General features: G+C 52.3%; 1 protein-coding gene across 2 annotated transcripts in view, besides 2 other annotated features; it reads right to left on the bottom strand.

Moving 5' to 3' along the window:
* KLF13 (KLF transcription factor 13) overlaps positions 1 to 23,917 on the bottom strand; it is a 108,831-nt gene that overhangs the window by 55,933 nt on the left and 28,981 nt on the right. The window contains exon 2 of one of the 2 annotated variants that reach the window (NM_015995.4): positions 1,834 to 7,723. The exons of the other annotated variant lie outside the window; for it this stretch is intronic. Coding sequence (NP_057079.2) covers positions 7,434 to 7,723 — 290 coding nt within the window. The 3' untranslated portion in view covers positions 1,834 to 7,433. Of the gene's footprint in view, positions 1 to 1,833; positions 7,724 to 23,917 lie in introns of those variants that run through there. 2 annotated transcript variants of the gene reach the window in all.
* Positions 4,916 to 5,903: an enhancer, noted in NCBI's record as "H3K27ac-H3K4me1 hESC enhancer chr15:31666033-31667020 (GRCh37/hg19 assembly coordinates)". NCBI's record gives its function as "activates a minimal SCP1, AML or CMV promoter by ChIP-STARR-seq in primed H9 embryonic stem cells {active_cell/tissue: H9 hESC(primed)}" and the evidence as "EXISTENCE:reporter gene assay evidence [ECO:0000049][PMID:30033119]".
* Positions 21,750 to 22,249: an enhancer, noted in NCBI's record as "H3K4me1 hESC enhancer chr15:31649687-31650186 (GRCh37/hg19 assembly coordinates)". NCBI's record gives its function as "activates a minimal SCP1, AML or CMV promoter by ChIP-STARR-seq in primed H9 embryonic stem cells {active_cell/tissue: H9 hESC(primed)}" and the evidence as "EXISTENCE:reporter gene assay evidence [ECO:0000049][PMID:30033119]".

Here is a 23,917-nt window from a genome sequence, read left to right as displayed (position 1 = left end):
CCTCTCCGCCACCCGAAACTGCTTTGTGACCTGGTCCAAAAAGAAAGCGTGAGAAGAAAATGTGCTACACGCATGCCAGAGACACTCATACATTTGTTCTTCAAAAGCCGGGAAAATCTATTGCTTGCTTTTTTTCTCCATTACCGGGGGCCTCTGAAGGCCTTAGGAGACCCCTCATTCCTGGGATGGGGGCTCCATGAATGGTGGGTCCCCCAGTCTTCTGGAAAGAAATACCAGGAGGGGTTTCAAATCTCAGCAGTGACATAACTGACAGGCTTTTTTTTTTTCCTGTCAATATTTTTTAAGCATCTGGGATCCTCTGACAACTATTTATGGAAGCGGATCCACCCTGCAGTTGCTGCTATCTGGGGAAGTTACTGAGCAATAAATGGCTCTGAGAAGGCGGAGCAGTGGCTGTCCTGGGAAAATACTCCAACCAAGAATGGGCTCCAAACGTCTCAGTACCAAAAAGACTTTGTTTGAAAAATGTGTGCTTGTTTTTATGACTGTTCAGTATGTGCCTGGGTGCATTCATTTCACGCCTCCCTCCCCCCAGTCTATGATACAGAAAACAAACGTTCATCAGGCAATGCCAGCTGGTGTCAGGGTAGCTTCAGGAAAAACCATGTCTAATCAACTGCGATGCCTGTATTTGTTAGTAACACTTCACATTTTGTGGTGGTTTTCATTTACCCTATGAACAGGTAATCACAGGCCTGGTATGGTGGCTCAATCCTGTAATCCCCAGCACTTTGGGAGGCTGAGCCAGTGGATCACCTGAGGTCAAGGGTTTGAGACCAGCCTGGCCAATATGGTGAAACCTCGTCTCTACTAAAAATACAAAAATTACCTGGGCGTGGTGGCAGACATCTGTAATCCCAGCTACTCAGGAAGCTGAGGCAGAAGAATCGTTCGAACCTGAGAGGCAGAGGTTGCAGTGAGCTGAGATTGCCACCATTGCACTCCAGCCTCGGCGACAGCAACGAGTGGGGCTACACAGCGAGACTGTGTCTCAAAAAAAAGAAAAAGAACAGGTAGTCATGTATGAACAGTGTACAGCCCAGATGCAGCGCTGGTCTACCCCTGGGTGAGGCTGAGATGTGGCTGCACCAGCACCTCCCTTCTACATGCTGTGGCTAGAACAGGGTTCGGGCCAGACCTCCACCCCAGCAGCCACCTCCTCCACTAGCTGCCAGCTTCCCACTGCCTCCGATGAGGACATCATCTGCCCTGGGGACAGCCAGGGGCAGTTAGTGTTCATTGGGGACTTAAACGGGCTCTGCTATCAACACCTGCCTTCCTACTCCCCAGACTCCCAGTGTCCTGGGACTCGTCCTCGCTGGAGCACACTTTGGGGTCAGTGCCCGTGGTAGGTTGTAGGAACTTTGGTAGCTAGAAACAGGGGAGTTTTCTAGACTCTAGGCTGAGGGGTGAGGCAAGCAGCGCATCTGGGGTTGAAAGAAGCGGTGGCTGCTGCCCAGGAAAAGGAAGTCCAGGTGTTTTGGGGGGACTTTGAGGGAAAGGTGCTGTGCCCTTTGAGGGAATCTGCCATCACCACATCCCGTTCTCCTCCGTGCTCTTTCGGATGGACGGAGGGGTGGGAATGTGAAGAGCTGAAATAGCTTCCCATGGGCAGGAGGGGAAGCCAGAAGAGCACCCACTGTGTGCAAGAGCTCTTCTGCAAAGCCTTCCTTCCAAAATAGGACCCGCCAAGTTCCAGGCAAGCTTCAGTCCCTCAGTCAATTGCAACTGCTTGAGTTTGTGCATTTCAGTTCCCCTCCCCTCCCGGAGCCTCTGCAAGACATGCTCTTCAAAGAAACTAGCTCCAGCAAATAAAATAATGAATCATAAATTTTATTTCAAAATGTAAACGTCACTAAACATGCATACACGTTAAAACAATAAAATTTACAATTTCGTTAATTTTTCTTTTTGCATAGGACATCATTACAATATAGAATCTATGCCATACAAAATACATACAAAGTTTTATCCGAGCAAGCCAAGGCCAGACTGGGAACTGTACAACTGTAATACTTCACTGTAGTGATCCAGGAAAGATGAAACGTGGCCTTCGGAATTATGGTGGGTGCTGGTTAAAAAAAAGTTCCTACAGAAAAGAAAAACATGAGCTCCATGGAAATGGTCTTGGACCCTTGGATTCTGCCTTGGGCTTTTGGCAAATGATTCCAGAGAAGCTCCACCAATGGCTTTGGATGGGAAGGGGTTGCCTGTGCGGGCCTGGGGCAGCTGAGACCCGGAAGCATGCACCCAACACATGCACACAAGCAATTCCCAGTCACCAAGGAACCACCGAAAGCCCCAAACCCGACAATGACAATGCATAGTTGCTCAGTAGTGCCTCCTTTCTGCTGAGGCTTTCCAGCCCCAGAGGCCTCAGCACTAGGCACCAGGGGCCTCTCTAGGATGAGGCCAGGGAGCAAAGTCTCCCACTCACACACCCAGAGGCAGGCACCTGGAGCCGGCACAGACGCTGGGGCTAATGAGCCCACGTGGTGTCTAGAGCCACATGGGAGGTGGCCTCTTGCTCCTCTCAGGGCAGCCAGGTACAAGGGCTCCTCTGCTGAGTGCATGGCCTGGCAGGCATTCGGCTCACACACCTGGTTTCCAAATAAGCACGCACTGCGACCTGTCCACGGGCCCTCTAGAAGAGGCCAGGGAAAACAGGACCCTGAGGCCTTAAGAAAGCTGTTCCCGTGCTCCCACCCCCACCCCCATGACTTCCTGCCTCCACCCCCCACCCCCCTCCCCGGAATGTGTGACTTGTAGGGTAGGGGACGCTACTTCTCTCCCATCCAGTTCATTTTTAAATAAAAGTAGTAAAGTTTTAAAGCTGTATGAGAAAGAGAGAGGCAGGGCAGGGCCAGGTGGCCGCACTGCAAGTCTGAAATCTTCATGGGGGTCAGTAGAAACCAAGCGCGACCCCTCTTCCCTCATGGACACCGGGCTCCCGTCTCCTGCTGAATTCAACTCTTCTGATGCTGAGGGACAGGACAGCAGGCAGGAGGCGGCGCCTCGCCCTAAAGGGTGCTCAGGCGTGTATCAGTAGTAAGGTGGACTATGCATCCAAGTTCTGGTACAAAGGTCTCCGGAATGTGTCTCAGACAAGCCTTCAGAGCCTCAGAATCAGGAAAATTAGTAATAGGACCTGGTTCTTCCTGGGGTAATCCTGATTTCAAAAACCATCAGCCCACGCCTCAGATTTTAGCTTTGGAAAATATGGTGACCAGAATTGTATATGGAAACAGTCAGCAAAAGATGTGGATAACCTACCAAGCGTTTCTTACTGGTTGTGATGTGACCAACACATTACACCCTTTAAACCTCTAGCACTGTGTCTTTGACTAAATGACCTTTTTTAAATGGGGGAAAGAAAATCAGTGACACCTGTCAGAAGTCAAAATAGGTAGCCCTGTACACACAGCCACAACCAGAAGCGGAGAAACAAGGCCACACTATTGCTCAGATCACATCTTCCTGTTGGGTGGCACCCCTGCCCAGCTGAGATCCTGAATGGGTCCCGAGGGAGTGCCGGGACCCTGTGCAGTCCATCTTAGCACCTGCTTCTGGCAAGAAAGAGGCTGGTCTTCTGGACACACCGGGTGGGGAGACAGAACACTTGAGGTCAAGTCCTGAGGCAGAGTGGCCAGCCCTCTCTGCCCATCCCCACCTCTGAATCACCCCTCACTGGTCTGAGCTGTGTTCAGGGTGCTGCAAGGACTGGGATCGCCAGTGCCTCAGATGTTTGTACCCGGAGGCTGCACCATGGCGAATCCTGCACCTGCCTCGGTGTGGGGCCTGGGAATAAAGTCAGGGTTAGGAGTGAGGCGATCTTGCACTCGAGTGTCGTGGGTGGGGGTGCAGCAGGATGCAGGTAGGGCACCTCCAGGACCATGTTCCCATCCAGGACATCTCTGCCCATTCCTATGCAGCATCCTGCAGGACAGGACCCCAGGGCTCTTTAAGGAAAGGGCTGTGTCCGTCTGTTTTCCTGTATGGCTGTAGGATCCAGTAGGCATTTGGGGAGCTGACAACCGTTCCCCTAATATGGCTGATGTAAAGAGGGGCTTCCTTGTCTGGGACAGGAGCAACACCAGCCCCTTGATGGCTGAGCCCCAGATCAATTTTAGGCCTTTTATAGGGGAACTCTCCCTTCACTCAGGCAACCTTCACTTTGACATCTCTGCCCCTATGGACCACGAGAACTGAAGTCCCAAAATAAGGGTTTGAGTTTTCACTATTATTTCTATGAGTCCTATGGGTTCCTCAACCCCACCAAAACTGGCAAGCATGGCCATAAACCACAAAAATGGAAGACCCTGAAATAGACGCAGTCTGGGAAAACATTCTGCATGTTTGAAGAAAATGGAGGCTGTTTCAGGAGGGTCCGCCTTGTGTGCCCGCCTCAGTGGAGGCAGCGTTCCAAGGCCCACCACCCTCTTCCACAGGAGTCCCTCACTTCATGATGAAATGGAAACCTGCCCTTGAGGACCCCTGTGAACCGTGCCTGAGATTCATGGGTTTCTCCCTGCCCTTCAAGCGAGATGAGTTTAAGCCGCAGATGATTCAGGAGGGTCTGGCCAGGAGTACCCAGGAGGATTTCTCTCCTGGTGCCCTACCCCCATTTCCCAGTCCAGGCCGGGGCCTAAGGACCGCACCCTGCCATTAAACGAGAACCACTTTGGGAATGAAGACACGCTCTTATGCCAAAAATAGCCAACGCCTGCATATTTCTGTTTTAAGGCAATGTTACCCTTCCATCTATCAGACGGAACAGCCCTGGGTCATTTAAAGGAAAAATTAAATTAAGTGCTCTCTTTGGAAACAGCCAACACCCGCTTCCCTCCCCCACCCCCCGCCCTGCTCTAAAACAAACCAGCTCTTCTTTTTATTCCAAGATGACTAGGTTTAGAGTCCTATCTTTTCCTTCCTATGTGCAGACAGATGTGGAGCTAGAAAATCTCCTTCCGTGACACCCTGGGCAGATCACAAGGACGTCTGACCCCTCCCTGGAGAGCACTTTGCCAGCCTCCCAGGGACGGGCCACTCCCTCTCCCTGCCTTGGGGAACGGTGGACGGTGAGTGCACCAAAGGACTTTGGAATAAAATTCCTGAACCTGGAATGTGAATTCCTGAGACATAAAATGTATTCAGAGTGTGGCTTTCTCTGCCTCACACGAAAACAACTTTGGGAGGGACCTCACTTTGGAACTGGGCATGAAGATCTTTGCACCACAAGCACCCAGGGCTCTCTTCTGTCAAGGTCCCTACCAAATATTCCACTCTCTCTCCCAGACCCAATGCAAGCAGGGAGGTCAGAGAGCCCCAACACAGCATGGCAGCCAGAGGGACCAGCTCCGCATCCAACCAGAGTGGAGGTGACCCTCTCCCTGCCAGTTCCCACCACAGCAGAAACAATGCCACTGCCCAATTTAGGGTCCATCGGTCTACCTAGAAGTCACCACCACGCTGTCGGCCAATCCCAGCTGACACACAGTGGTAAGAAGCGGGCACCTGACGGCATACTGTGCCTGAGCAGCTGCTGTGGACAGAGCGTACCTGTCCACTCTGGAGCCAGCCAAAACAGTGACCATCAGCTGTGGGCAGTGGCTAGGCCTGGGTCCTGGGTTTGTGCTGCACCCCATAGCATGGCAGGGCTGAGTAGAAGCAGGATGGCCACAACCAAGGCACGCTAGGCCCAGGAAGCCCATCTGTGGCCCTCTGAGGTCCCAGGGCCGTTCCTTTGCATCAAAATAGGTACTCATCAAAACAGGTATCTCTGGCAAGATACCCTGAGTCCACCCCAATCCCCCCACCCCCCCCAACACACGCGTGTGTGCTCACGCGCGCACACACCCACACGCACGCACACACTCTGTCCTGGGCCCTTGTATTTACAGGCCTCAACTCTCAGGAGGAAGGGAAGGTGATACCTGGGCCACAAGCCTGGGTCAACACTCCAGCCATCTGCAGAGGAGTTTGCTGGACCACGGCTTGACTGACCCCCGCCCAGGGCTCGAATCCCAGCCCAGGACCCAGCTCTCTGCTCCTCCTCTCCTGCCAGGAGAAGGCCGGTGATGGGGCACTGGAGCAGCCCCACCAGCTGGGTGTGGCCTGGAGCCTCCAGGCAGGACAAGGAGAAGCAGGAGGAAAAGGGAGGAGGAGTCCAGGGGAAACGGAGAGGCTGGAGGTTTGCTAAGTCTGAGTTGGGGACATGGTGGGTCTGAGAAAAGTGTTGCCCGCAACTTTCTATCTGGCATTCCCTGCGGAGGAAATAGAATGCGCGCTCTCCGACAGCATTTCCTGTAACATCCGCGCCACTCCTGAAAAGGTCCAAGTCACAATGTTCCGGTCTCTTGCTACAGAATGGTCTCTGTGAAGCATGGTGCGCTGCCACATGCACAGCCGCTCACACAGACCCTCTGATGAGGAGGCCCCATGACCTGCCCACTGTTTCCAACAAAAGTGCCCGTGCGGGCAAACTCGGAACTGGATGTGCCACCAGGAATTTCTAACATCTTTTTAGAAGACCAGAATTCCCCATCAGAGGCCCAGGTATAGTAGTGACAGGGTCCTGCATGCCTTCTGCTGGGACACGGAGAAGCGGAGTCCTGGCAGGTGTGACCCCGGCCCCTGCCTCGGAGGTCGGACGGTGCAGTGCTACGCTCAGCCAGGGCTGGCATCTCTGCTTCCAGTGCTCCCTAGCGCCGTAGGAGAGGGCTCCTGAAGGCGGGGTGTGAGGCAGGCAGGGTGCAGAGGGCTGAAGGCCCCCTCCACTATCCCCAAGGTGGAGTGCTCCTCCAGCCAGGGACAGCTTTAAGGCATCCCTCTGCAGGGGCCTGTCTCAGAATCAGCTGCGTTGCAAGCCCAGCCAGGCTCGTTGGGCAGAGGCCAGAGACTGGGTTGGGGGCTGGGCAGGAAGAGGTCAGGCCAGCTGCTTAGGAATCTGCCCTGGAGGCACAAACGTCAGTGAGCACATCTGCTCCCAACAGACCCACAGGCTGGCCAGCCAGCCAGACGCTGAGCTCCACCAGACTGGCTGGCCTGCTCTGTCCCCAGCGTGTTCCCGAACCTAACAGAAAACTCCAGAGTGCAAATCTATGTACAGAGTAAGGCGGCAGGAAGGGGTGTCCTCACTGACCTCGTGAAACGTGTCCATCCCTGAGAAAGGGGGTTCAACAACGCTGAATCTCAACTTTGTGGGTGTATCTATTGTGCAATTTGGTGGGTGGTGTTTTTTGAAATTTTTGTGTTTTTTTTGTTTTTTTAACAAATTTACTTTGACACCTGAGGTGAAAAAAATTGTTTTTTCGTGGACTTTGCATCAAGTTCTCTCTCTTCTTTCTTATTACAAAAGGAAAGGCCAGGGACTCACGAGGGGGTGGGAGCGGCTGCTCATGGCTGTGGCGGGCTCAGGGCGAGCTGGCCGGGCTGATGGTGGGGCTGCTGGCGTCGGAGCGGCTGTAGTCGCTGAGGGAGCCGGTCCGCGAGCCCCCGCCGCGCCGCTGCAGCATTCCCGGGTGGAAGTTGGCGTGGCGGCGCGCGTGCTTGGTCAGGTGGTCGCTGCGCATGAAGCGCTTCTCGCAGATGGGGCAGCTGAACTTCTTCTCGCCCGTGTGTGTGCGGTAGTGCCGCGCCAGCTCGTCGGAGCGCGCGAACTTCTTGTTGCAGTCCTGCCAGCTGCAGGCGAAGGGCCTCTCACCTGTGGGCACAGGGGCAGAGCATCAGTATCCGCACCTGGCCCCGCCTTCACACCCTCTCTGGGGAAGGGCCCGCAACACCCAACACCCTGGTCTCTCAACACCCCTCCCACATGCCCCACCTCCAAGAGCTTCTGTGACAAATCCATCAAGGCAGAGATGAAGGTGGGCCCCTGCCCTCCCGCCCACGCCTGGGATGGAGGCAGAGGACACGGCCTAGGATAAAACAGCATTTCAGGTGCTGAAGCTGCAGGGCCCATGGGTAGGTACAGGTCAGGGCCCCAGGCTCCTGGCAGTGGACCCCCTAAGTACACCACAAAGCAGGCTGCACTACACACCCATGCCGGGCCAGTGGTCTCCAACGCCTGGGGGTTGCAGGCCCATGCCCTGGCTTCACAGGCCTCCCGGAGTCCAGCCGCCCATGCTGCTCCATGGGAGCCACACTCTGCACCCCTGCAGGGCAGGAAGGCAATTCCCATTCTGACCCTCCTCAGTCTAGTCTGTCACATGAGAGGGTCAGCGTAGGTGAGTTCCGGGGCCTGGAATTCTACAACCAGTCTGCTGCTCCTTCTCTCACAAAAGTCCCAAAGTGACCAACCAGGGACGGCTGGCAGAGCAGGAGAATGAAACAGCCTCTTGCAGACCCAAGTGTGGTGACAGACAAGGGCAGCAACCCAGAGCACCCCATTATAGGGGCCTGTGCCGGTAGGGAGGAGGCAGAACACAGTGGGGTGGGAGGTAATGAAGGTTGGCTACGGTCAGGATGCTGCTCCCTCCTTCCCATCCCTCACTCGGAGCGGGAGACAGGCCAGCATTTACCCAGGCAAACTCAACACACAAAACTCTGAATCACAAAAATGACATCAACTGCTCAGGAAGAACCAGGGTGGGGGGCTCTGGCACCCCAGAAACGAGCCCTTCTTGTATTAGGGGTGGCCGCAGGGCTGCCCTTCCTACACGGTCTCATCCCCTCTCACCCCCATACAGACCCTAAAGTGACTGCCAGTCACTGAAGCTGGTCTACCCATGTTCAACAGAGGAAACCCACTCACCCACCCACCTTAAACACAAGCAGATACCCAGGGATGGCCAGACAGCCAGGGAGAACCAGCAGCATGGAAAAGAAAGGCCAAGCGCAATGCAACCACCAACTCTAGAGGAAAAGAGTGAAGCCAGGAAAGAGAAGAAAATTTTAACTTGAAATTTCTGATTAGTATTCTCTGAGGAATTTGAGATGAAATTTGATGCAAAAGCAAAGAGGATACCATACAAAGAAGTTCAGAGAGCAAAAACGGCCAGGCGCGGTGGCTCATGCCTATAATCTCAGCACTTTGGGAGGCTGAGGCGGGTGGATCACTTGAGATCAGGGGTTTGAGACCAGCCTGGCCAACATGGTGAAACCCCGTCTCTACTAAAAATACAAAAATTAGCCAGGTGTGGTGGTGTGCACCTGCAATCCCAGCTACTCGGCAGGCTGAAGCAGGAGAATCACTTGAACCTGGGAGGTGGAGGTTGCAGTGAGTCAAGATTGTGTCACTGCACTCCAGCCTGGGCAAGAGAGCAAGGGTCTGTCTCAAAAAAAAAAAGCAAAAACAACAGCATTTAGGAATTGAAAACAGCATTGTGTGCATATAAAACTTTCATATAAAAGCTGGAAATATACTCAAAGCAAATATATGAGAAAAAAAGAACCAAAAAACAGTTCTGGAAAATATGTGGATGTCACGATGTTCCGTCTCCTGGTACTGCTGAAGCAGGGGCCGTGTGTGGGTACACTTGCTCTCTTTATTGATTTTACATGTTGGGGGAAAGGGTGTTGGGGGGATTCAAAATCAAGTAGCCACCACGATTTCCCAAATACACGACAATTACAATCAAGTGAGAAAACAGAAAACATGGAGAAGAAATTACAAAAGAAATAATAGAACAGTCTCTGTCAAAGAGTAAAAAAAAAAAAAAAAAAAAAAGAAAAAGGAGACAGGAAACTAACATGAGACAGGCTGCACAGAGGTGGACCAGGTAAATGAGTTAAGACCTCTGCTGCGAGAAGCTCTGCAATGTCAGAACACTGAGTAAAAACAGGAGCTCTCACAGCTTAATAGAGAGAGGGGGAAGAAACAAACACCAGGTCATCCACAAAGGAACAAGGCTGGGATAGACATCAGACTTTTCCTAAGTCACACTGGATCCTGAAGACAAAGGAACAGGGCCTTCCAAGTTAATGTCTCACACACTCCAGCTAAAATGAGATAAAACCAAGGAGCTAGAGACATGACTGAATAGTAAAGGGCCATTGCATGACAAGAGTGAGGCAGAGACCCCGGGAGGTCACTGGAGCACAGGACCAAGACTCACGGGGGAAAATTCCAGGAGGAAAGTGAGTTTTGTGCACCAGAGAGTACCATCAAAAGGCTGGGTAAACTTCAGGACCCAGTAAAGACACACCACTCTTCTTTGTTTAAAAGAAAAAAGAGGCAATTAGAAACTCCAGGAAAAATAAAAGACATACAAAAAAATTGTGGTTCAAATTAGATGTAAACGAAAATGCCTCATGATTATGGGTCAAGAGCTCCGAGCCAAGCTCGGTTCTAGGGGTTTTTCCTATGCTCTATTATTTATTCTTCACAACAACTCCATGAGGTGGTGGCAGGAAATGTAATCCCAGCACAGGCCCTGCTGATGGAAGCAAACTTTACACAGTTGTGGTCATGCTAACCTTAGCACTAGTTGTCAATGTTTCAGAACCAATCCTATAAACAAAGGCCATACAACTGACCTGTGGGCCCAGCAGAGAACATGGATTTAAGGGAAAAGTTGGAATGCACACAGTGTGCAAAGAACGTATCTAAATGAAACACAGAGATTTAAAATTACAAAGATAGTCAACAAAATAAGTAAAATAATACATCCATCAATTTAGGAAGAGTTGGAGGGGAGGGATAGGAGTCAGGTAAATCCTTAAATTTCATGGCAGGAGGATAACAGAAAATATCTAAATTTGATAAATCAAGAAACAGCAGTAAAATACAGTTCATTTATGGCAGTAACCATCAAGACAACTAAAATCAGAAAAGAAGTGTTGCTGTCTAGGGAGTGGGGCTGGACTGGTGAGAGGATTTTTTTTGTTGCAAGCTCCTCTGTGTTATGGGTATCTATCTATCTACCTATCTATCTATCTATCTATCTATCTAATCTGAGATAGAGTCTTGCTCTGTCACTGCAGCCTCCACCTCCCAGGTTCAAGTGATTCTTCTGCCTCAGCCTCTCGACTAGCTGGGATTACAGGCGCCTACCCACGCTCGGCTAGTTTTTATATTTTTAGTAGAGACAGAGTTTCACCATGTTGGCTAGGCTGGTCTTGAACTCCTGACCTCAAGTGATCTGTCTTCCTCAGCCTCCCAAAGTGCTGGGATTACAGGTATGAGCCACACGCCTGGCTTGGGCCTTTTAAAAAAATCCTATGTATTTGTTTCTTCCATAACAAGAAGAAGAAGTGTTTAAATATAGTTCCTTAAATATCTAGTCCAATATTTCCCAAAACATGTTCAAAGAAATGTTATCATTGTATAAAACTGTTTATCGTTTCCAGAAAAAAAATTTTGTCAACTAAAGAGTGAAAATGTTGCATGATAATTCCACTCTTGGAGATTCACAACGCACACTAGTCATTAAAAGCTTGGGAAAGTCCAGCATTAAATGGTTTAGCATTAACCATGTCAGGTCTGACAGATGAGGTTCAGACCCTGTTTGCCCTGAGTTGTGACGCTATGGCCTCGAAAAAGCTCCGTGCTGCCAGCAGTAGGGCAGATAATGGTCCCCCAAAAGATATAGCCAAGTGATAACCCTCCAGAACCTGTGCATGTGATCTTATCTGGAAAAAGGGTCTTTGCAGATGTAATCAGGTCAGGATCTGGAGATGAGCTCCCAAGTGTGGAGCATGGAGAAGAGGGGAGGGGAGTGAGGGAGACGGGGAAGGCAGCAAGTGAGAAGGGGGAGAAAGGGGGCAGGGGAAGGAAGGGGAGGTATGGAGTGGATTCTCCCTCAGAGCCTCTGGAAGGAATTAACCCTGCCAACACCTTGATTTCTGGAACTGTGAGAGAGTAAGTTTCGGTTGCTTTTCAGCCACCCAGTTTGCGGTAATGTGTGACAGCAGCCACAGGAAGTGAGCACACTGCCCCGTCCTCATGCGGGGGGTCCATACAGTGATCCCATGGGGCTGCGCACGACCGGCCTCAGCACAGCGCCTGGCACGTTCCAAAGGTCCACTCCTGAAATCTCAGCTGTTATTGTTGCTCTTAGTCATTAGCCCTGTCAACTGGGTCTCCTCTGATTTGGGCCTGTTGGTGTGGGGGGAAGCCAACCCAAATTCAGACTCAGCCTTGCTTCCTAATAGCCCTTGTGAGGAGCCTTGTCCTTTAGCTTCTTCTGCCTGCAGGCTGGGGAAGCATGTGAGGTACACAGAGCTACAGGTGGACCACATGGTGTTGGGGCCGCAGAGAAATGCAGCATCCAATGGATGGGACGTTGGTGCCAGGCAGCCTGGAGTGGAGGAAGGTGGGTGTTGGGTGCAGCCACTCCACCAGCACAGCTCTTGGCCTCCCTATATATCAGGAGCTTTATGCTTTGACAGGGCACATACTGGGTGCCTGGCCCAGAGACATGGTCCTGACCCAGGCAGACGCGGCCCCCACGGCTCCATTCTCTGCTCCTCCCTCAGCCTGCTGCAGAGAGGTGACGGCCAATGAACTGGCCCACAACAGGAGTTATGGCTCAGGCTAGCAAGGAGCAACACTGGGTCTGGCTGGGTCCCCTGGTAGTGACACTCAGGCAGCACCCAGGAGGCTGACAAGGAGCAGCCCAGAGAAGGGAGAACGGGTGGAGGCGGGAACAGGGAGCAACATGCCCCAGGCCACTTTCACCCACATGATCCGCAGGGAGCCCCAGGAGCTTTCCTGTATGTGGGCGGGAGCCACTGCTTTCATCGTATTAGAAATTACAAATTAAAATGGAAAAAAGGTCTTCAACCCAAGCACGCATTCCAGTCGTCGTGGTGCTGTCACACATCCTGTAGCATCTGCAATAGCCTACTGTACTCTTTTGGGAGAATGAGGCAAACAGTGCTATTGTTATGAAAACAGTTTTGATCTCATGGCCCCTCTGAAGGGTCTGAGGCACCTGCGAGTGTCCTCAAGCTTCACTCTAAAAACTGCTGTTATGGGGACAGACTCCAGGCGGGGCTGCGTGCAGCCGAGTACAGTGAGCACAGGGGGGCACACAGTGAGGTGAGGGGCCAGCCAGGCCCGGCCCTTCAGGGAGTGAGCCCGCCTCCCATTCTAAGGCAAAGGGAGCCCAATGGCCTAAACAAATCCAAGCACCCTCCTTGCTGGGCTCAAACCCTGCATCTGCCTCCACCCGGGCATGGGGTACACAGACAGCAACAGCAAGACAGGGACTCACCAGGACAGGAGCTCCCTCTAGCTCCAAAATGACAAGAGAACCAGTAGGAGATTCCAGACTCCTGCAGAGGAGCTCCTAGCCTTCCTGCCGGATCTCAGAGTCACTCCAGCTCCCCAGGTGGGAGGGCCCCAGGGGTTCTGGCTATGTGTGCCTGTGCCTGTGCATGGGGTGGGGGCCGTGGGACAAGGCGGGGTTAGGCCTTGTGAGAAGACTTGGTGAGAGGAAGGGGGCTGGGGTCAAGCCTGGAGGGGCACTAGGTGCCCTGGAGCCCTGAAGGGAGGCTGTAGGAGGGTTGGGGGAACTGTGGGGAGCTGGGAGAGGGGCTAAGCCATGCTGGGGTTTGGGGGTCCTACAGGTGCCAAGCAGAGGGGGGACTCTTCGGGTACCAGGCTGCATGGCCGGGTGATGCAGGGTAGGGGACCGCATGCAGTTGCGGGGAGAGTGGGGTGGGTGGGGATTGGAGTATGGTTGGGCGGGGCAGCTGCTCAGGGCTGCGCGTTACATAAATGTTCCCTGGCGCCACAGCGAGGCCGCGAGCGGAGCAGCGCCCCGAGTGAGAGCAATTGCCTCATCTTATCAGGAACACAGCGTCCCACATGCTGCTCTTGCCCAAGCCGCAGGCCCAGGCGGGGACAACGTGTTCTCTCAGAGAGCCAGCCGGAAGGGGGGCGCAGGGGCTCTCTCTCCTTCAGCTGAGCCCCCAATCCGCCTCAACACCCAAGTCCCAGGCCCTCCCCTCTCCCCCACAGCAGCCACATGCAAATGCAGCCAGCTCAGGAGTGTGCGTGCTCCAGCTCAAAGCCTGAGCTCAGACTCGGGCTGTGGCATGGACTCCACTCTGCTCTGCCCTCCTGCGCAAAGGGCACGCTCCAAGTTATCTCCTGCAATCCAGCCTTAGCCAAACTCCCCCCCAACCCCCCACAGGTGAGTGGGCCCCCCCACCCCACCCGGCTCCAGCTGCACCTGTATAAACCACACTGCAGATCTTTCTGTCTGCGAACCTCCTGTGGGAAGCCTGTTGAGTGGTCATTTTTGCAATGTTTCCAATGCCCGGTACCAAGCTGGGGCCAGAGCAGCGTCTGCCGCAAGGGCCTCTTCTGCCGGCCTCCTGCTGGGTCTTCTCTAGGAAGCCTCGCTGAGCTCCCCTTCATGGAAGGGAGAAGGGAAGAAATGCAACTCCTACCGGGAGGTCCTGGAAAGGCAAATGAGCCATCACCCTCACAGGGATGTCTTGGATACAACAGACCTCTGGAGCGCAAGGGTCCATGTGGGTGTGTATCTGGAGGCAATGGCAGGGGCAGCGCTGGTCAGACTCAAAGGGAGGCACAGGGAGAGGCTTCCAAAGAGAAATTGCTTGCCCTCAGGCTCCCAGGCCACTGTCCCCAGTCTCCAGGTATTCCCCACCAGTGAGTGGGCTGTCATTCACTGATGGACAGCTCTGCCCTGTGGGCACTGGTTTGGGGCCACTTCTAGCTCCCAACCTCAAGACTGCAATGTTTTTCACTCCAGGAAGACTGTTCACCCTCCTGTTCTGGAGCAGGTCAGCATGGCCAAACACAGGGGCTGATCAACTGCTGGCCTCCAATGAAACTCAGGCATACAGCCTCAGGGGTAGCAGAAAGGCCTGGCCTCTGTGGTGGGGGGTGGACTTCCTAACTCCTTAGGAGGCCATTTGACTGTCCTGCTCGTCTCTAGAAATGTTAGTGGTTTATTAAGCCACATGGAGCTGACATGCACATGGCTTCGCAGGAAGTCCAGGTTGGAAGCTCTTACCCACCCACTGAGCAGGTAAGGGAAGTGAGGCCCAGGAGGAGAGAGTGAGCTGTCATTCAGCTGGCTGGCGCCAGAGCTAGAGCCGCAGCTGGAACCTGCCTGGGGCAAGGAAGCAGCCTGCTCTACCTCCACTCCTTTGTTGATGCCTCAGGGATTGTCATCCAGCCTGTTTCTCAGTCACTGTGAGGGTTAAGTGGGAGAATACGTGGGGCACATGCCTGCTGCACAGTGGTGCTTGGAGGAGATAACAATGTTATCACCTATGGGCCAAGGGGCCCCGGGAAGCATGTTTGTGAGCCGCCCAGTAGTGAAAGAGACATGGGGGGCAGGTGTGCCCTGTCCCAGGCGCTCTGGTCTAGTGCCGCTGATCACACACTACTATCCACTCTTCACATGCAAGAGCTGGCAGGGTGCTGAAGCCTGGCTGGAGACTGCCACAGTGTCGGAGGCAACACTGCTTCAGTGAGAGAATCCTCCTTGGGCAAATGTGTGGCTCCACATTTCTACAATGCTTGCGAAGATATTTTTTAAAGTAGGCATTTTTCTTGTTGCTTTGCTTTGTTTTCGAATAGGATAACTTGATCCTAAAAATTCATACAGAAAAACACACAGTAATAGCCAGAAAAAAATCCTGCAAAACAATGACGTGGGGGAAACGAGACCACCAGGATTCAACACAGTTTCGTAAGCTGATCACTGGCCAGTGAAGCCCAGCAGAAATGGCAGAATTAGAACGAAAGGTAGTGGTAACTGTGCAAAGGACAGAGTGACATCTCGAACCCCTAGGGCAGGGAGCAGTCAATACATGTTATGAGGACACTTCGGTAGCATCTGGAAAGGCTGGGTTCATACTTCCCACCCTACACCAGGATAAATTCTAAATGGGTCAAAGATTCTAATGTGAAAAATAAAACCACAAACATTCTAGGAGAAAACTGTAAGACAGAAGTTCCTTCTATGAATCAAAGTCCACAAACCATAAAAGAAAAGACTAAAGGCTGGGCATGGTGGCTCATGCCTGTAATCCCAGCACTTTGGGAGGCTGAGGCAGGAGGATCACCTGAGGTCAGGAGTTCAAGACCAACCTGGCCAACATGGTGAAACCCCGTCTCTACTAAAAATACAAAATCAGCCGGGCGTGGTGGCGAGCGCCTGTAATCCCAGCTACTCAGGAGGCTGAGACAGGAGAATCACTTGAGCGTGGGAGGCAGAGGTTGCAGTGAGCTGAGATCACACCACTGAACTCCAGCCTGGGTGACAGAGTGAGACTCAGTCTCAATCAATCAATCAATCTATTTGACTGCACAAAACAGTATACTATACTTCTCCATGAACAAAGTCACCATAAACAAAGGCAAGAGATAACTGACAAAACTGAGAGAAAAAATATTTGCAGCTCCTATCACAAACGGCTAATCTCCAATACAGAAAGAGCTCACAGGAATTTTAAAAAGAAAAATATCCAACAGAAAAATGGGCAAAGCCCATTCATAAAAAAGGAACTACAAATGGCTCTCAAATGCATGAAAAGATGCTCCACCTCATCCATCAGGAGCTAATGGCAGATGAGACACACTGAAATGCAGCTTGGTAGCTTATCACCTTGGTGAGGCTGCAGGTAAGCAGGCATTCTTTGCTGATGGGAGTACAAACTGCTACAACCTCCATGGAGGGCGATTTGGCAATACCTATTAAAATTAGAAATGTGCACACCCTTTTACCCACATCTGAACTTTTGACATCCTAGCCTACAAACGCATTTGCACACCTACAAAACGGGATATGCTCCTGATTAGTCAATGCAGCAGGAACCTGAAAACAACTCATGTCCTTCCACTGGGGCCTGTCAAATAAATTATGGAACGCACATATAACAGAACACTATCGCAAAGAAGTAGAATGAGTTCTTTACAAACTGATATGGAAAGATCTCCAAGCTGAGTGAGGAAAACAAGGTTGAGGAGAGATGACCAGCAAGGATCTACGTGCGCCTTGGCCTGTATGTGCAGAGAGAGGGTCCCTAGGAAAGTAGGAACAGAGATCACCCAGGGGAACACTGAGCAGATGGAGAACAGGGAAGGTTGACAGAATTTTCCCTGGGGAAACTACTTAAATCTTTTAGATTCTAAAACACACAAATGCATTTCCTATTCAAAAAGTTAAATTCAAAACAAAAAATCCATAGCAAACTAGAAAATGCTAGCCATCAATAATGCCAATTTAAAAATCAGACATTCAACACTCTGGGCACATTACTGGCCCCATTCTGTATTCCCTATTTCAAAGCACAGTTCCTCATATTACCCCAAGAGCTCTCTTAAAATAACAATGGTCGCCCAGGCAGATTCTCCTCAGAATGTGCTGGGCAGTGGCTTCCAGGATGAGAAACTCAAAAATAGCAATAAAGTCCAATCTAGCTTTGTAGGAGATGTTCCCAGGGCAGGGCTCCAGGGCTTTAGAGCCCCTGGGTCACGCTGCAAACTGTCCTATTGGAGAAGGGCCCTCCCTGATAAATTGTTTGATAGGCCCAGCAGTTTAGAACGGGTCAGACCTAAAAGGCTATGGGTGACAAATATTCAGCAAAGGATTTAAACAGAAGCAGTTCCAGAGTTGTAATTCCACGTCAGAAGCCCCCTTCAGGCTCCTGAATACCACACTCCTGCCATAAGACCACTTTGTGACACCACTGTGGGCTGAAAATTAGCCCAGGTGGATGGCAGCTAGGAGAGCCAAGTCCATCCAGCCACTAGGATGCAGATCCCAAGTGCCACTGTAGGGGCTCATGAGGAGTAGGAACCAGGGAATCTGTGGACTACTGGGAAAGGGTTTTCTCTTGCACCAAGAGAAAAGGAAGGAGGGAGGGAGGGAAGAAAGAGGGCAGAGCACGTGGTGGGTAGGGAAAGGGACACAGTATGGAAAGGCCTCTTGGGCCTGCCTCTGGCTGTGACGTCTGGGGTGGGGGGTGGGGGGCACCAGCCTTGACAGTCACAGGGGAGATCTGCAGAATCTCACAGAGAAGTCCAACTGCTTCTTGACACGAACAAGCACCTGCACAGCCAGCCCCAGCTCTGCACCCCAGGTGCCCGTGCTCCCAGCCGGCTCTCTAGGCAACTGAGGGAGGGGCCCCTGTCTGCAGAGCCTTTGGCAACCATCGTGGCCCACTTCCTCTTCCTGTGTCTCCCCTCCCCCAGCCTTCATTTCCTCCCCCTGCCCTCTCCTTCTGTGTCTCCTGGGGGGGACCTTGCCTGCAGGGACCCCACCCTGCTAAGCTCTGCTACAGACACTCAATGGCACAAACAGCTGCATGTACACTCTTTACAGGGGTGCAGCTTTTACTTTTGGCCTGCACTGGGCTCATCTGACTCTACCAACCCGGAAGACAGGAAAGTGTTGATGTGAAACCCTTGTCAGAGGTGAGAAACCAAGTGACCTCACCAAGGTAACACACCCAGAAGGGTGGGCCTGAGGCTAGGCTACACCGGGAAGAAAGACATTCTCACAGCCCCTCCCCAGCATGGAACAGGAACACTGCTGCCCACGTTCACGTTCCAGGAGGAGCAAGCAGGGGCACCCACCCACAGTGCGGCGAGGCTACCCTCTGCACCCAGGGGCCCCTGCTGCCCCCACAGCCAGGCTCTACGAGGCCTATTTCACGGCAGGCTTGCCCAGGCTGGGGGCATGTGGGCCTGAGGACCTGTGGGGGACCTCCACGGTCCCCAGCTCCCCTGCAGCAGGAGGCTGCAGCTGAGGAAGGAGCCAGGCAGTTCCCTGGAAGGGCCCAGCGCTACCAGGCAGCGCACTCAAAACAATGGCACTCAGAAGCCCTGGAGGAGCCTCGGCAGGCTCCTCTTCCAGGCCCAGCACCTGCCACCTGGCCGGCTCCAGGTGCACAGCAGGCTCAGTTTTCTCAGGAAAAATGTGGCAAGGTTTCCAGCAGAATATAACGAAACAATGTATTCTTCAGGGTTGGTTTCACAAAGTAAATACATCCGAATTAAAATGAGCTTGTAATTTGGACGACGGGCCTAAAAAACGCCTTTGGTTTTTGAGGGAGCCGAGACAAAACAACAACAACAACAAATTAGACAACGGTCTGTTTTTTCTGAAACAGGTGAACAGTGCCGGGGCTTCTGCTAGGAACCTCCAGACCCCCAGGGAGGAGCTAGAAAGCCCCCAGACCTCTCCTGCAGCAGCCCAGGCCCATGGAGCCACCAGGGGCTCTCGGTCTTGCCCACTAGGAGCAAGTTACCCCTACCCTTTGGGAAAGCCCTTGTGTTCAAAAACCCTCTTGCAGAGAACAGGTGACCTGGCAGCCCCGGGCCCTGTCCCTCAGCCCTGCCCGCAGGTCTAGTAGCCCCCTACATCCTGCTCAGGCTTGTCGCAGCCTAAGTGCGTTGGAGAGGGCCTGAAACAGAGCCCCACTGCCTGCCATGTGGGGAGACCAGTGCTCTGGGGGGCCACCTCTTCTCAGGAGACAAAGCCCACCCTCTTCCCGGCACAGGCCTGCCCGCTGCATGTCCGTGCCCACACCTTCCTCCCTGTATCCTGCTGGCCCTGTTTCCTAAGCCCTTCCCTGTCCTAACCTAGAACAGGGCCCTAACCTTAAGGCAGCTGACCCCAGGGACACCAGCCGGGAAGAAAAGCAGTGCCACACTCTGCACTATCCCACGGCCAGGCCCCCAGAAGCTTCAAGGTTGGAGTGACCCCCTCTGCAACAGCTCTGTACGGGACTCCAAGACCTGAGGCTACCTAGGTCTGCCTGATGCCAAGGGAGGGCTAGCAAGAGCTGGGAGGAGCCACTGGGGCAGGAACCCTGTTCTGTGTCCTACCTGCCTCCCTCCCCCAAGACCACAACATGCGGGGTGGAGGGCTCAGCGCTCCTTGGTGTCATCCCCAAGGTTACTGGAACCAGGCTTCACAATCTGTTGGATGGGGTAGACGAGGGAGAGTAAGCACACGGAGCCAGCCCAGCTGTCTCTCTCGAATGTTCTTCTGAACCACCAATGTGAGCTGCTGATAAACAGCCCCTGGGAACGTGGACAGGGAAGAAAACAGACTACCAAGTGGCTGAGCCCCACCCTCAAATGCACACATGAAATGCATATGCCAGAGCTCTAATTGCAGGAAGGAAACAGAGGTTACCTCAGGAAGATGGGATTTGTGTGTGACTGTCCTTTCTGCATTTCTGCCTTCATCAAATGAATCACTTTGGACAGTCAGAATTAATGCAATAACACTATGTAACAAAGTGGTGTATGTACACACACGTACCTTTCACCCAAGCTCCAGCTCACCACTGGGACTGCTTCCACAGAACCCAGCACCCCAATCCCTAAGAAGGGAATAGCACTAGTTTGCATGAACCAGTACACTGCCTGGAAAGGTTAAAAGGACCACATGCCAGAATTTCATAAAGGTGTTTGCTCTCCTTTTGCTAAGGGTTACAAAACACACTTGAAAATTTCCGTTCTCAAGGTCCCTTTTAAAAACAGAAATAATAGAATACCAATGGTTTCTGCCAACAGAAGGCCAGAAGCCACCTGAGACAAGGGCTCTGGAGCTTCTCTCCTTCACGCACACCCGAGTCACAACCCTTATTGCTCCTCAATGGATAAGTAGGGAGACGTATATCGGCCCCTTGCCACAGAAGCTTCCAGATCATGGATTGTGCAAGTGAAGGCCTTCTCCAGATGAACGGTGCTACCTGTGGACTCATGAGAGCTGAACCCAAAGAACAGACATTTCCATTTCCTTTCCATTGTGAGACCCTCATCACTAGCTGCCTCCCAGGGGAAGCCAGAAGCATCTTCCCTGAGCACGGTAGGGTGACGCATGTCCAGCTGACCCCACTGCCCCCGCCTTTCCTCTGCCATCTTGAAGGGAATGTTCCCTGGCTTCAGGAGCCAGTGTGCGGTTAACATCCTTGTTCTGGGCATCGGGAGGCAATGTGACTGCTTGCGTACCAACACAGCCCTGATGGCTGGTGATAGCCCAGGGGTGACATTCCTATGCACCTCTTCAGATATTTTCTGAAACACAAGGCAAGACAGGAATATGAGGTTGGAATCCACAATTACAGAGCCAGGTTTATTTAGCTGATAAAAATGCTCTTCATTTGAGGCTGATCAAAAGTAAAGGCAATTTGTATCTAAAATACATAAAGAACTCAATCTCAACAATAAGCAAATGCCAATTTAAAAAATGAACAAAAGATCTGAACACTCTTACCAAAGAAGATAGAGAGATGGTAAACAACTGTGTGAAAAGGTGTTCAGTGTCATTTGTTATTATGAAAATTCAAATTACAACGAGATATCACTATACATATTTATGAGAATGGTTAAAATCCAAAACACTGACAATACTAAATGCTGGTGGAGCAACTGGAGCTCTCATCCATTGCTGCAAGCATGTTAACCACAGGGGAGCTGACCAGCCACTTGGGAAAACGATGTTTTGACAGAAACTGTAAGAATGCAGACAATCGCAACTGTACTATAGTCAACCTGCCAACCTTAGGTTTGGACCCCCTCCTTCCACTGCACAACTGTCTTCTTGTGAGCTGCCTTCAGTTGCTTCCAGGATATTGCTGGATGTATCTCTGGCAAACTCCTGGATAACATTGTTGGGCAAGAACAAAGGAGATGCTGGCTGCCCAACAGCTGGACAACTCTCAGCCGCCCCCTACCTAGTGCTTACCTTACCCTCATCTCTCCCCACGCCTCCTGCACTGGACCAAAGGCCTAACAGGAACTCTGGATAAAGCTGGCAGGTCAGGCACAGGCACCCACCACCCTTCCAGCCCCAGATCCCACTACAATGAAAGAAAGTGGATTTTAACAGACAAAGCAAAAGGGAAAGAGAGTAACAAAAATAATCTGGAAGCAAGAAATTAGAAAGACAGCAGAGAAGGCAAGGAAGCAATCCACGTTTCCCCACAAAGGCTCGGGAGTCTCTGGCGGGGGTGGGGGTGCAGTTGGTGGGGGGCACCTGAACATCAGATAAAGCAGCTGTGGACACAAGGTCTTTCCTCACCTTACAGATGGCTGCTTGCCCTTCCTGCACCTGCCAGGAACCAGAGGCTGACTTTCTGGGAGGGTCTACACAGGAGGGAGCTCTGGACTGACGACTCCAGACCCAGCTCAGAGTAGGGCAGCCTCCAGAACAGGGGTGTGGGGAACAGCCCACTCACAGAGTGCTGCCTCCCAGCTTCTCTCCCAGTGTGCAGCAGGACCACCCTCCCTCCCCCAGGCAGGAGCAGAACACTCCTCTTGGGGGAAAACCCGGAAGGAGATGGCCCAGTAGACCACCCACAGGAGGCCACCGTCGCTGAGCCTGATGGGCACCCAGAAGCCCCCACGCAGCTCGAGGCTCTCTGGGCCGTGTCACCAGACATCAAGGATCAGCAGACAATGCAGAAGAGCCTGACGTGGGTGGGCAAGAGACCCAGACCAAGGAGCAGAGACAGGTGATGTGGAGGGAGCAGAGGCCACGCAACGAGAAGACTTCCAGAGCTGTCACTAACATCCTCACCGCATAGACGGCCTGGCGGAAACAAGAACCGCATGTGCCTTTAAAAGGGAAGCTTAGAAACCTGAGTTTGAAAGCAAAGGCTTAGAAACCTGAGTCTGAAAGTAAAGATACAGAAGGAAAAATGTGGCAGAAATAAAAATCCCAATAGCAGGGTTGGGAGAGAACACTGAGAGAATTTCACAGAAAACAGAGCAAAAATACAAATGGATGGGTAAGAGGGAAAAAATATGAAAATGTAAGGATCAGACCAACAGCTCCAAATAAAAGGAACTGCAGGCAGCCCTGAGAACACAGGAGGTGAGGTGATCGTGAAGAAAGTGGCAAGAATGTTTTCCAGATGCCACCCGACGGGCCCGCTGCAGAGGACAGAGCTTGGCCAAGCACCTCCACACACGTGCACACCTCCAAGCCCTGGTAAAGGCACAAGCCCAAAAGGCCCTGAGAGGCAAAGAGACCGGGAGGTGCACACAGCCAGAATCAGAAAAGCTTCAGTCTTCTCCACAGCAACATCAGAGCTCCAAACCGCACGAGTAAACCATTCCCACCTATGATTCAACCCAGAGAAACGTGAATCAACCTCAGACCAGGATCAAGACATTTCCAGACATATAAGCCTTAAAACAATGGCCTCCCATTCTCCTAAGTGAATTAACGCAGGAACAGAAAACCAAACACTGCATGTTCTCACTTATTTTTTGAGACGGAGTCTCGCTCTGTCGCCCAGGCTGGAGTGCAGTGGCGCGATCTTGGCTCATTGAAACCTCTGTCTCCCGGGTTCAAGCGAGTCTCCTGCCTCAGTCTCCTGAGTAGCTGGGATTACAGGCGCCCGCCACCACGCCCAGCTAATTTTGTATTTTAGTAGAGACAGGGTTTCACCATGTTGGTCAGGCTGGTCTGAAACTCCTGACCTCAGGTGATCCATTCACCTTGGCCTCCCAAAGTGCTGGGATTATAGGTGTGAGCCACCGCGCCCGGCCAGTTCTCACTTATAAGTGGGAGCTACACACTGAGTACACAGGGACACAAAAGAGGGAACAGCAGACACCAGGTCCTACTTGAGCGGGGAGGGAGGAGGGTGAAAGACTGAAAAACTACCTATCGGGTACTATGTTTATCACCTGGGTGATGAAATAAGAACATCAAACCCCGTGACATGCAATTTACCCATGTAACAAACCTGCACATGTACCCCCAACCCTAAAATAAAAGTCAGAAGGAAAGGAAAAATGGCCTCCAGTGCACCCCTTCCAGGAGGCTATGCAGCAGGAGCTCTGCCAAGAAGCAGATGGCAGGGGCTCCAGGAAGTGGGGCCTGGATGGTAGGGGAGGGGTCCCAGGATGACAGCCAACCCCCACAGAGATGTTATCCAGGCCACACGGAGCAGGCCACACTGGGTGTGTGGGGACAAATGGGGGGCTGGGGGTGTGGGGACA

Source organism: Homo sapiens, chromosome 15 (genome assembly GCF_000001405.40).
Source record: "Homo sapiens chromosome 15, GRCh38.p14 Primary Assembly".
In the NCBI taxonomy this organism is placed as follows: Eukaryota; Metazoa; Chordata; class Mammalia; order Primates; family Hominidae; genus Homo; species Homo sapiens.
Note: the sequence above shows the minus strand (reverse complement) of the source record. Positions and strands in the feature narration are given on the sequence as shown.